Genomic DNA, 13,811 nt, shown 5'->3' on the forward strand with positions numbered 1-13,811 from the left:
ATAAACATACGTGTGCATGTGTCTTTATAGCAGCATGATTTATAATCCTTTGGGTATGTACCCAGTAATGGGATGGCTGGGTCAAATGGTATTTCTAGTTGTAGATCCTTGAGGAATCGCCATAGTGTCTTCCACAATGGATGAACTAGTTTACAGTCCCACCAACAGCATAAAAGTGTTCCTATTTCTCCACATCCTCTCCAGCACCTGTTGTTTCCTGACTTTTTAATGATTGCCATTCTAACTGGTGTGAGATGGTATCTTATTGTGGTTTTGATTTGCATTTCCCTGATGGCCAGTGATGAGGAGCATTTTTTCATGTGTCTGTTGGCTGCATAAATGTCTTCTTTTGAGAAGTGTCTGTTCATATCCTTTGCCCACTTTTTGAGGGGGCGGTTTGATTTTTTCTTGTAAATTTGTTTGAGTTCTTTGTAGATTCTGGATATTAGCCCTTTATCAGATGGGTAGATTGCACAAATTTTCTCCCATTCTGTAGGTTGCCTATTCACACTGATGGTAGTTTCTTTTGCTGTGCAGAAGCTCTTCAGTTTAATTAGATCCCATTTGTCAATTTTGGCTTTTGTTGCCATTGCTTTTGGTTTTTAGACATGAAGTCCTTGCCCATGCCAATGTCCTGAATGGTATTGCCTAGGTTTTCTTCTAGGGTTTTCATGGTTTTAGGTCTAACATTTAAGTCTTAAGTCTTTAATCCATCTTGAATTAATTTTTGTATACGGTGTAAGGAAGGGATCCAGTTTCAGCTTTCTATATATGGCTAGCCAGTTTTCCCAGCACCATTTATTAAATAGGGAATGCTTTCCCCATTTCTTGTTTTTGTCAGGTTTGTCAAAGATCAGATGGTTGTAGACGTGTGGTATTATTTCTGAGGGCTCTGTTCTGTTCCATTGGTCTGTATCTCTGTCTTGGTTCCAATACCATGCTGTTTTGGTTACTGTAGCCTTGTAGTATAGTTTGAAGTCAGGTAGCGTGATGCCTCCAGCTTTGTTCTTTTGGCTTAAGATTGCCTTGGCAATGCGGGCTCTGTTTTGGTTCCATATGAACTTTAAAGTAGTTTTTTCCAATTCTGTGAAGAAAGTCACTGGTCGCTTGATGGGGATGGCATTGAATCTATAAATTACCTTGGGCAGTATGGCCATTTTCACGATACTGATTTTCCCTATCCATGAGCATGGAATATTCTTCCATTTGTTTGTGTCCTCTTTTATTTCATTGAGCAGTGGTTTGTAGTTCTCCTTGAAGAGGTCCTTCACATCCCTTGTAAGTTGGATTCCTAAGTATTTTATTCTCTTTGAAGCAATTGTGAATGGGTGTTCACTCATGATTTGGCTCACTGTTTGTCTGTTATTGGTGTATAAGAATGCTTGTGATTTTTGTACATTGATTTTGTATCCTGAGACTTTGCTGAAGTTGCTTATCAGCTTAAGGAGATTTTGGGATGAGATGATGGGGTTTCCTAGATATACAATCATGTCATCTGCAAACAGGGACAATTTGACTTCCTGTTTTCCTAATTGAATACGCTTTATTTCCTTCTCCTTCTTAATTGCCCTGGCCAGAACTTCCAACACTATGTTGAATAGGAGTGGTGACAGAGGGCATCCCTGTCTTGTGCCAGTTTTCAAAGGGAATGCTTCCAGTTTTTGCCCATTCGGTGTGATATTGGCTGTGGGTTTGTCATAAATAGCTCTAATTATTTTGAGATACATCCCATCAATACCTAGTTTATTGAGAGTTTTTAGCATGAAGCGCTGTTGAATTTTGTCGAAGGCCTTTTCTGCATCTATTGAGATAATCATGTGGTTTTTGTCTTTGGTTCTGTTTATATGCTGGATTACATTTATTGATTTGCGAATGTTGAACCAGCCTTGCATCCCAGGGATGAAGCCAACTTGATCGTGGTGGATAAGCTTTTTGATGTGCTGCTGGATTTGGTTTGCCAGTATTTTATTGAGGATTTTTCCATGATATTCATGAGGATTATTGGTCCAACATTCTCTTTTTTTTGTTGTGTCTCTGCCAGGCTTTGGTATCAGGATGATGCTGGCCTCATAAAATGAGTTAGGGAAGATTCCCTCTTTTTCTATTGTTTGGATTAGTTTCAGAAGGAACGGTACCAGCTCCTTTTTGTACCTCTGGTAGAATTTGGCTGTGAATCCATCTGGTCCTGGACTTTTTTTGGTTGGTAGGCTATTAATTATTGCCTCAATTTCAGAGCCTGTTATTGGTCTATTCAGGGATTCAACTTCTTCCTGGTTTAGTCTTGGGAGGGTGTATGTGTCCAGGAATTCATCCATTTCTTCTTGATTTTCTAGTTTATTTGCATAGAGGTGTTTATAGTATTCTCTGATGGTCGTTTGTATTTTTGTGGGATTGGGGTGATATCCCCTTTATCATTTTTTATTGCATCTATTTGAGTCTTCTCTTTTCTTCTTTATTAGTCTTGCTAGCGGTCTATCAATTTTGTTGATCTTTTCACAAAACCAGCCCCTGGATTCATTGATTTTTTTGTAGGGTTTTTTGTGTCTCTATCTCCTTCAGTTCTGCTCTGATCTTAGTTATTTCTTGCCTTCTTCTAGCTTTTGAATGTGTTTGCTCTTGCTTCTCTAGTTCCTTTAATTGTGACGTTAGGGTGTCAATTTTAGATCTTTCCTGCTTTCTCTTGTGGGCATTTAGTGCTATAAGTTTCCCTCTACACCCTGCTTTAAATGTGTCCCAGAGATTCTGGTATGTTGTGTCTTTGTTCTCATTGGTTTCAAGGAACATCTTTATTTCTGCCTTCATTTTGTTATGTACCCAGTAGCATTCAGGAGCAGGTTGTTCAGTTTCCATGTAGTTGAGCAGTTTTGAGTGAGTTTTTGAATCCTGAGTTCTCTTCTGATCTTTGTTGGTTTAAAGTCTGTTTTATCAGAGACTAGGATTCCAACCCCTCGTTTTTTATGTTTTCCATTTGCTTGGTAGATCATCCTCCATCCCTTTATTCTGAGCCTATATGTGTCTCTGCATGTGAGATGGGTCTCCTGAATACAGCACACTGATGGGTCTTGCCTCTTTATCCAATTTGCCAGTCTGTGTCTTGTAATTGCAGCATTTAGCCCATTTACATTTAAGGTTAATATTGTTATGTGTGAATTCGATCCTGTCATTATGATGTTAGATGGTTATTTTGCTCGCTAGTTGATGCGGTTTCTTCCTAGCATCGATGGTCTTTACAATTTGGCATGTTTTTACCCCAGTGACATGAACCCAGTACCTCAGTTGGAAATGTAGAAATCACCCATCTTCTGTGTCGCTCACGCCAGAAGCTGTAGACTGGAGCTGTTCCTATTCAGCCATCTTGGAACCTAGTTTCTACTTTCTTATTGTGAAAATACATTCTGTAAAGTCATTTGGTGTCAAGTATTTGTTCAGCTCATGTGTTTCTGAATTGAAGCATGCTGTTTTACAGAAGGGCTTGTTAATTGAACACTGTTTCCCAAACTGTGTTCTGTGGTGCACAGCAATGCAGGGTTTAACAAGGTATTATATTAATAGATAATTCCATGGCCAATTAATTTTGGGAAATGATGGATTAAAAAATGAATAATCAAGTTTATTTACTGGAGAAATTATTAAGAGTCTTTAATATGTTAATGCACTGCAAATCTCCAAGGAAGAAAGAGAACATCATTTTTGGCAGAATACTTGCATAATGTGAGAAATTCTATATAAGAAGAAAATACAAATTTACGGTAAGTTACAGAACACAACTACCAAAACATTACTTTCTATTGGATAAATACATGAATATATAACCATAAGGAATAGAAGTTTCAAACTGATTAGATGAAAATGTTCTGTCTAGAGGGGAATTCAATGAGTAAAACAAAAAACTTACAGGCAACATCCAAATAAAATGAGGTGATAACATATCCACAAGAAACCCAGAATATGGGCAAATAGAGCTAAATCACCAGCAGTAAATGTAAATGCTACAAACATTTTGGAAAGCAAAATTTGACAAATTCTAACAAAGTAGACATAGGTGTCCTAGGTTCAGTCTCATTTCTAGGTATATATTTAGGAACCTAGAAAAATATTATAAAATCTCTGTAGAAACATTGTTTATAACATCAAAAAACTGGCAACAACTTAAATGACCCTCAACAAGAGAATGGATAAATGAACTCCTGTATAATCATACAGTGAAATAAAATAGATTAAAAAATTAAAGGAACATGGGTGAAGGTAAAGAATTCTCACAAACTATATTGAACAAAAAGTTTTTAAAAAGTAGATTGCAGAATAATATTAGAGAATTAATTCTCACAAACTATACAAACTATATTGACCAAAAAGTTTTTAAAAAGTAGATTGCAGAATAATATTAGAAAATTATAACTATGAAAATTTAAAAACTTGCAAAGTCATTATATATTATTTAAGAATATGCCCTTATTGAAGAAGATATATATGTGTATACATGTGTATATATATGTGTGTGTATATATGTGTGTATATATGTATACATATATGTGTGTATACATGGATTTGTGTTTATATATTATATATATGTATGTATATATATATATTTACATGAAATTTGTGGGAAAAGATACACCGCTGTAGGATATTGGTAACTCTGGGAGTAGAGAGAAAAATATAGTTGGAAAAACTTATCAGCCAGGCGCGGTGGCTCATGCCTGTAATCCCAGCACTTAGGGAGGCTAAGACAGGCTGATTACTTGATGTCAGTAGTTTGAGACCAGCCTGGTAAACATGGCAAAACCTTGTCTCTACAAATAATACAAAAAAAATTAGGTGGGCATGTTGGCACAAGCGTGTAATCCCAGCTACTCAGGAGGCTGAGGCACGAGAATCACATGAACCCAAGAGGTGGAGGTTGCAGTGAGCCAAGATTGTGACACTGCACTCCAGCTGGGAGACAGAGTAAAACCGTGTCTCAAAAAAAGAAAAAAAAAAGGAATAAAAGAAAGACTTACTAATCAATTTTACCTGCATAAGTAACATCTCATTTCTGAACTAGGGGTGGCTCCATATGCAATGATTGCATTATCTTTATACATTTTCATGACTTAAATGCTTTATGATAAATTCAAAAGCCAATCTAACTCGTATTTTTTCTATGACTGTATGACATAGGGTTCTCTAGTTACACCCATAATCTGGAGCAAATCTCTCTGTAGTTTCTTTGAGTTCCAATCCCCAATGCATTTACTCTCCTGTGCTACAACACATATAGACATCACTTCTCTTCCCTTTCTCCTCAGAAGAAGTTCATCATTAGTATTTAATAACAATTGCCAACTAGGCATAAATAATACGCTGCTCAAAGCCATCATAGAAAATGGTCTTTGCCAAGAAGTCACCGTTGTGCCCTGCATAGTATACTGGTACCCACCCATTTATGACAAATACACTTTCTCTGCTCAGGATTGCAGAAAGATAATTAAATAATGATCTTTTAGTTACCAACTCTCGCACTACCAGACATTCTGCCCTCCAATGCATCAGGTTTCTTTAATGTTCCTCTAAATATCAGGACTTCACACATGGTTTTGCACTTGCTTCTTCTTTCCATTTAAAACAGAAAGACTAAAATATACAAAATTTTCCAATGTGATTGCCTCATACCGCTCTTGGGCTTCAAGTGGCTATTGTCATATTACCCCAAATGTTGTCTCTGATTTTATTACATAAACCTTGCCATTTTTCTTTAGGGGAATAAAAGGCAATTTTATATGGGATGGCCCTGGTCTCTGTTATTTTCAGCATACCCAGATTTTTTTTTCATTCCGGCATGCTTGCAATTCTGGGAGACGGTGTATACTGACAAGGAGATTTATCGCCAGAAGCTCCCCAGTGGAGTCAGTGGCAGGAGATAAAATTTAGTCACAATTCACATGTGTTTGAAATGAGCATTCCAAGAGAAAATGATTAATTTTCTTTTAAAACCCAGAAGAAAAAAAGGCCATACCCATAGGCATTATCACTTCTCCATGTGCTCTGGCTTCCCTTTGTCCATTTGCTGTCATATTTACATTTCCCTCACTTTTGTTGCATTTTTTTTTTCAGGCAACAAACTACCAAGTTATTATTATTCAGGAGAAAAACCTTATAAACATGTAAAAGGATTTTATTCTGTCACAGATGCCCTTAGAAAATAATGAAATGGAGTTGGAAAATTGATGAAGTACCATAAAATGCTAGCACTAAAAAGTACGATAACAACCACCGAGTTCAAGACCCTTATTTTGTAAGTGTGGAAACTGAAACCTAAAAAGATAATGTGCCTTCTCCAAAATCCTTTCACCCATGTAGAAAGCTGAGGAGGCATAGGGAACCAAGATCTTCCAGTTTTGACGTTAAGGAATCATCACACCTGCAGGATGATGCCAGAAGTTTGACTACCAAGGCTCCATGTTTTTAGCTTAAAAGTTTAATCAATATTAAAATATTTGCCTGCTCCTTCCCTCCGTCCAAGAAATCCCTGGAATAATTAACATTCAAATCTCTGTCAACTATACCATGCCACAAAGTCACTACAGATAAGAAGAGGAAGAGAAGAATTTTCAAAATAAATTATCTTAACCATCAGAATATCTGATACAACTGACTTATAAGTCAGATTGCCTAAATATTTGAACTACATTAAATAATATATGTATATATTATTGCCCATATGGGCAAGTAAGGTACAGGGATTAACTAAGAGGATGTGTGGTAAGATTTTTTGTTTATGTAGTAACTATAAGGTACTCCTTGTCTATTTTTTTTAGCATGGATATCTCACTATAAAAAATATTTTATGAACTAATGACAGAGTATCTTTAAATAGTAAACTGTTAAAACTATTAAAACAATGATTTAAAAGAAAAAATATAAGACCCAAGGCACTTCTATTAAATTCTGCAGGCTGCAGGCTGATCTTCCTTGCTGAGGATACAAAGGTGATTAAAATCTGGTTCTTATCATGGAGCAGCTCATATCCTAATAGCCTATTTTTATAATGCAAGCAAACTCTATTTGTAGAAAAAACTGATAAAGCACTTGTCAGAATGTCTAGAAGTAGGCAGTCTGTAAGTAGAAATAACTTTTATCTAAAGTTCTAAATGGTTTTAGAGCCAAAGAATGTCAGAGTTAGAAAGAATCTTAAGAGGTCGTTTATTTCTACACTTTAAAGGAATCCTCTATCTAATATATCTCCACTGAGTGGCTCTTCAGTTTCTGTAACCAACTCCAGTTATTGATGCTATATTCCATTTTGGAACCTCTTTCATTATAAAATTGTCCCTTAATGTAAACTGAGTTATCCTAGACAATAACAGTATGTGGATTCAAATAGGGTCCCATTTAAAGCAGTATCCATATTCCACTGGCTCACATAGTAACCTGAATCTTTCCACAATGCTTCTGCTAAGCCCTTGAATTTCTAGTTGTCCCAGAAAATATCTCACAAGCATTGATCAACAGGTCAGATTGACAATTGTCATGTAGAACCTACCACTTCTGCTAGGCATGGTTGTCTCACACTGGGAACTTGCTACCTTCCACTCTGTTCACTGAGATAGGAGTAGCTAAGGCAGCCCTGAGCTGTGCAGTAGCTTGTGGAGCAACCAGAGAGATGTTTTGGCCCTTCCAGTTGTTGTGGTGCCCTCTGTCATTGCTTGTGTGCTCCATGCCACCTCTTCCCACCTCTATGCCTCTCAGGGTTTTTCTTTCTTTTTTTTTTTTTTTTTTTTTGAGACATTCTCACTCTTGCCCAGGCTGGAGTGCAGTGGCACCATCTCAACTCACTACAACCTCTGCCTCCCCAGGTCAAGCGATTCTCCTGCCTCAGCCTCCCAAGTAGCTGGGATTACAGGCATGTGCCACCACGCCCACCTAATTTTTGTATTTTTAGTAGAGATGGGGCTTCACCATGTTGGCCAGGCTGGTCTCGAACTCGTGACCTCAAGTGATCTGCCTGCCTCAGCCTCCCAAACTGCTGGCTTTATAGGCATGAGCCACTGTGCCTTGCTCCTCTCAGTGTTTTTACTTTAATGCCCAGTATCATCTGCATTCACAGCTGGGCAGATATGACTCCAAAGGGAGTTACGTACCAAATACAACATGCAGATACAACACTGCACTCAGAAAACCTCCTCTCATACAATTTCTAAGGCTTTACTACTAGGTGCTCCTGAGTTCTTCCTGCCCATACACTTCTGGAAGGACCCCTCTCAATCAACTGACCAGTCAGGTCTAAATCCCAGAAATTCACAGCTTAGACTCATGCCTGCATCTGTGATAAATTTGAATTGAGTAAGTATGTGCATCTTATTCATCCAAATATCCCCTACAGGTAGCACAGAGCCTCACATGTAGAAAAAATAATAATAAAAATAAACATTTACTGAATATTGCAGACTTATCGGTAATATTTTATTTAATCCTCATAGAAATTCTATCAGGTAGATACTATTATTATTCCTACCTTATAGATTAGTATACTGAGTTATAAAAGGGTTAATTTATGTGTTCAAGATCACAAGGATAATAAGTGGTGGGACTGGGTTTTGAACCCAGGCAGTTTTGACTGCTGAGCTTGTGGGCTTACCCACCACATGTTCTGCCTTCCTACCCTCCACACAGAAGCAGCTCAAGAAATGTTTTGAGGAAATGACTGTAACTGCCTCTTGCAAAGTAAACACATTGATTCTTGACTTTCCCCTAGGGATGTACATTAAACATAGTGGGTCACAAAAGAAACAGCCATGTATTTGAAGATAATTCTCATGCCCCTTGGCCATCAAGAGCTCTTCTGTTTCAGTCCTAAAGAGAGTTTAGATATTGGGTTCCCAAGAGCTTCTTAGGGGTGACTTGAAGCTCAGAATGGCTGAAACATTCCAGGAATCAGAACATTTTTCCATTTCTTCTGGAGTGAGTGGCTTGTTTGAGCACTTATCCATTCCTTTTTAGAAAACCTTTCCAACATTTTGTTTCTTCTGTCCTTCCCTGCATCCTGTTTCCCATCAAGGCCTTTAAACCTCTATTGGCCGATACCCGGAGATGCCCTGCTGCACAACAACCCAAGCTCTTCACCTTTCCCTGCCTTTCTCTACACTTCTCCTGTATCTAATCACTGGCTCACCATGGGCTCCAGACGGCATGCTATTCTGTTCTATCCCATCTTGGAAATATGTAAAGGAGATACAGTTAGACAAGGATTGTAATTTATAATCCTTAATGTAATTTGTAATCCACAATGTATTGAGTCCTGAGGGGTCTTTGGTTTAAACAGTGTTTATAAATAGATAAGCCAATGCTGAATCCAAAAAATTTAATCTCTAACAATCTTAATTGAGAGTTGGGAATTCCTAAAATTCTCAACAATTTTAGGAATTTTGAGACCTAGAGAGGATTATAGTAGGATAAGATGTCATCTGGAATCCCAAAAGAATAACAACTACTTTGAGATGTATTACTATTCCATTTAGAGAGGATAAAAATTTCACAATTTGGAGAGTTAATAAGAAGCTGAATTGAAACGACCTCTAACCTGTTTGATTCTTTGCCATTGTTTTATTTCGTAGCTGGCCTTGTATAAATTCATTTTTTTCATGAATCCCCAGGATAATACCCAGTTAACCTGAAAAACTCTTTTGAACTAAGATAGAAATAATTTAAGGGCACCTAGCATGTATTCACTTTGGGAATAGTGTTTAATTCATTAACCTCAGAGAAGTGATTTGATGGCCCAGAATAATTCATTAATCTTGTAATAGGCATATTTGGAGGTAAGTGGGACTTCCTCTCAAAGCACAGTGTGGGTAAAGAGCTCTTTGACTATGAAGGAACTGAGCTGTGCTCTGGGAATCTGTCAGAGAAACTGATCTCTACCTAAATGTGGAAGGACATTGGTTGTATCAAAACTTCCTTTTGTCACTAACATGCTGTGTGATTTTACTTAGCTTGTCTGTTTTTTTGTTTCCTCTGTGTAAAGTAAGGATGTCAGACTGGATCAGAATGCCTCAAATCTGTGAGCCCACAGAACCCACTGGCACATCATTTCCCAAAATATTCATACCTGTTTTCCCTTTCTGTCTTCCAAAATTCTCATTCAAAGCCTCTATGCATCCCTATGAACAGTACTTACATAATGACTGACTTTAGTTTATTAATGCCTAAACTTTTGAGAGGTATCACTCTGGGCATAACAGGGAAAATAAAATAAATCTTAGCATGTCAAAATAAATTTGTAGTAGCAAGATTTTCTTTCCACTATAATTATTTTTACCAAATATCAGAGCAACTAGGTAAAAGGTTAACAAAAATGTATATAACATCAGAGGTTTGGCCGGGCACAGTGGCTCAGCAGTATAATCCCAGCACTTTGGGAGGCCGAGGCGGGCAGATCACCTGAGGTTGGGAGTTTGAGACCAGCCGGGCCAACATGGTGAAATCCCATCTCTACTAAAAATACAAAATTAGCTGGGCATAGTAGGGCATGCCTGTAGTGCCAGCTACTCAGGAAGCTGAGGCAGGAGAATTGCTTGAACCCAGGAGATAGAGGTTGCAGTGAGCCAAGATTGTGGCACTGCACTTCAGTCTGGGTGACAGAGTGAGACTCTGTATCAAAAAAATGAAAATAAAAAGTCAGTGGTTTGTTTGGCCACTTTGCATTTTACTTGTTAAACAAGAAATATCTACGTATGATGTTGATACACTGCCATGATTTAAATCACCTCAAGTTAATTTCATTCTCTCTTTGTTTTCTTATGAAAAGATTTAATCTTACACCTGGAAGTCTGGGTTTTTTAAATTGAATTCTATAGAAATGTTCTCAAATTCAGATAATTCTATATTGTGCACATGATGTCAAATAACATGCTTGGTTAAATTTTTCATTTTTAACCAGTTGCTTCAGCAATATTTATTTTCCAAGTTTATTCTGTTCTTTCAGTATTTAAAATTCCTTAATTATTGTGATATGATTTGGATATTTGTGCCACCCAAATCTCATGTTGATATGTAATCCCCAGTGTTGGAGGTGGGACCTGGTGGGAAGTGTATGGGTCATGGGGGCAGATCCCTTATGGCTTGGTGCTTTCTCCAAGATAGTGAGTGAGTTCTCATGAGATCTGGTCATTTAAAAGTGTGTGGAACCTGCCCCCGACTCACTTGCTCTTGCTTTCGCCGTATGATGTACTTGCTCCTGCTTCACCCTCCACCATGAGTAAAAGCTCCCCGAGGCCTCCCTAGGAGCTGGGCAGATGTTGGTGCCATGCTTCCTGTACAGCCTGCGGAAACATGAACCAATTAAACCTATTTTCTTTATAAATTACTGTCTCAGGTATTTCCTTATAGCAATACAAGAATCACTCAATACATACTGATATCATGAGTTTCACTGGACATTTAAAATATTTTCCTCATGAGGGAAAATTCCCACCTTGACCTGACCTCTCATCAGTTTTATGTATCTGCAGAAAAATCCTTCTAAAAGATTGAGATGAGCAACAATAGGACAAACTTTCAAATGGTACTGTTGACTGAGAATACAATGGACAATGCCAAACTGTTTACAGATGTTATGCTTGGCCTCTTTCCCAGTGCCAGATATTTGTATGAAAGATGAAGAGTATAATCTATTTACATACAGTGGTTTTCCTCCCCAAAACTTTTGAGCTTTGTTATGCTTTAATAACCATATGCTCTTGAAAATTGATTTCTTTTTTGAAGACCATCTGCATCTATGTAGCTAGGCACCTATTTCTTCCATTTCTTCAAAACTGAATGTTGCCCTCTTTTCACACTGCATTCTCCTCACACTACCAGTGCCCCAGTGGATTATGTTTTGCTACAGTGAAGGAAAAGAAAACTCTGAAAGACGTAGTGTAGTTGCTGTAGTTTGAATGTATTCCTCAAAGTTTATCCCCAATGCAACAGTGTTGGCAGGTGGGGTCTAGTAAGGTGATGATTAGTTATGAGAGCTCTGCCTTCATGAATGGATTGATGATGTCATTATCACAAGGGTGGGTTGGTTACCATGTGAGTGGGCTTGTTATAAAAGCAAGTTCAGCCTCCTCTTGCTCTTGCTCTCTTGCCCTTCTGCCTTTTGCCATGAGATGACACCAGATGCAGACCCCTCAACCTTGTACTCCTCAGTCTCCAGAACTGTAAGACATTTCTTTTCCTTATAAATTTCCAGTCTATAGTATCCTGTTACAGCAACACAAAACAGACCAAGACAGTAGTGTTGTATTTTTTCTTCAGGTCATGATATAGCCATGTAGAGCAGTGGATAAGAGGACAGGTTTTGGAGTTAAATGATCCATCTTCTTATTCTGGCTTCACCAGTTATGTAATCTTATATACATTATTTACTTTCTATGCTCCTTCTAATTCATCTTATGAAGAAAACGATGCTACATATCTCTTTAAAGTTGTTAGGGTGATTAAATAAGAGAATGTATACAAAGGGTGAATGCTTAATAAAAGGTAGCCGTTAAGCTCCTGCAGTTTTACAGCCTTCAAATTCATGTAGCACAAAAGGCGCTAAAGTGGAAGAAAAAGTGGCTGTCCAATATAGTGGAAGGTGGCAGCTAATTTATTTTCTGGAAGTGAAGAACCTATGTCTTAGTTTCAAAGAGTCTGATTGGGTGGACTAAAGCATATTTATAAATTAAAACTTGAGGTGCATAAAACCTTCTTTGAAGAGTTATATACAGGACAGAGGTGAGAGAATGTAATTTTCACATGCATCTGTCTTCTATGAGGAGCTTAATATTCTTTGGCCAAGTGGTTCTCAAACCTATTTAACTATAATTATTAGCTGTAGAGCTGTAAATACAAATAAAAACAAATAATATAGTTGGCCCAACCATAGGCCAACACTCTCAGGAGTTCAGTTGGTAGGGACACAGAAGGTAATTTTTAAGAGCTCTACAATTAATTCTGATACCTACTATTCTCTCTGTATGCCCAGAACAAAATACTAATTTTGACACAGATAGGACTCAGGGAAGTCATATTCTTAAGGTAATTTCTCTATGAAAATGGAAGAAAACATAATCTATTTCTTTTATATTTTTCATAAAACAGTGTTTCGATGAAGATACAAGAACAACTGATGATAATATGTCAGCAAGTCATTAATTTTGGGCTAGTTAACAGGCAGTTTGAACTAAAATGGCAAACCAATTCATTGAAAAATATTTAAAAGTTTAAAAAATAATAAAAGTATCAGACTATTAACAGAAATACAAAGATAATTGAAGACAGTAAGAAAGAACAGAATTATGGAAGCAGAAAATTGAACCAGTAATACAGAAGTAAATTTGATAAAATTTTCCATTATATAGGGTGTCTTAGCACAACTCTGCTGCTATAACAAGATACCTAAGCTGGTAATTTATAATAAACAGGAATTTATTTTCTCACAGTTCAGAAGACTGGGAAGTCCAAGATTAATGCACCGGCAGTTTTGTTTTTTGTTTGTTTGTTTGTTTGTTTGTGTCCAGAGAGGGGTGCTCTTGCTGCTCCCTTAATGAGGTCTTGTTGCTACATCCCCAGAGGGAAGAAATGTTGTTTTTTATGTGGCAGAAGAAATAGAAGGGCAAAAATGAATGAACTTCCTCCATCATGCCCTATTTTAACGACACCGAATCCTAGTCATGAGGGACTCAATCACCTTCTAATGGCCACACCTCCTAATACTGTTCTATTGGGAATTAAGTTTCAACATGAATTCTGAAAGAGACAAAAATATTCAAGCCATAGCATAGAAATTACATGAAAATAATAACAAA

At 37.4% G+C, this 13,811-nt stretch overlaps 1 long non-coding RNA gene across 1 annotated transcript in view; it reads right to left on the bottom strand.

Moving 5' to 3' along the window:
- Nucleotides 1-3,296: 3,296 nt before the first annotated feature.
- LOC105377989 (uncharacterized) overlaps nt 3,297-13,811 on the bottom strand; it is a 347,578-nt gene continuing 337,063 nt past the window's right edge. The window contains exons 13-14 of the long non-coding RNA XR_002956387.2: nt 11,182-11,300; nt 3,297-3,721 (exon numbers count right to left, since the gene is read on the bottom strand). This is a non-coding gene — a long non-coding RNA (uncharacterized LOC105377989). The remainder of the gene's footprint in view (nt 3,722-11,181; nt 11,301-13,811) is intronic.

Source organism: Homo sapiens, chromosome 6 (genome assembly GCF_000001405.40).
Source record: "Homo sapiens chromosome 6, GRCh38.p14 Primary Assembly".
Classification (NCBI taxonomy): domain Eukaryota; kingdom Metazoa; phylum Chordata; class Mammalia; order Primates; family Hominidae; genus Homo; species Homo sapiens.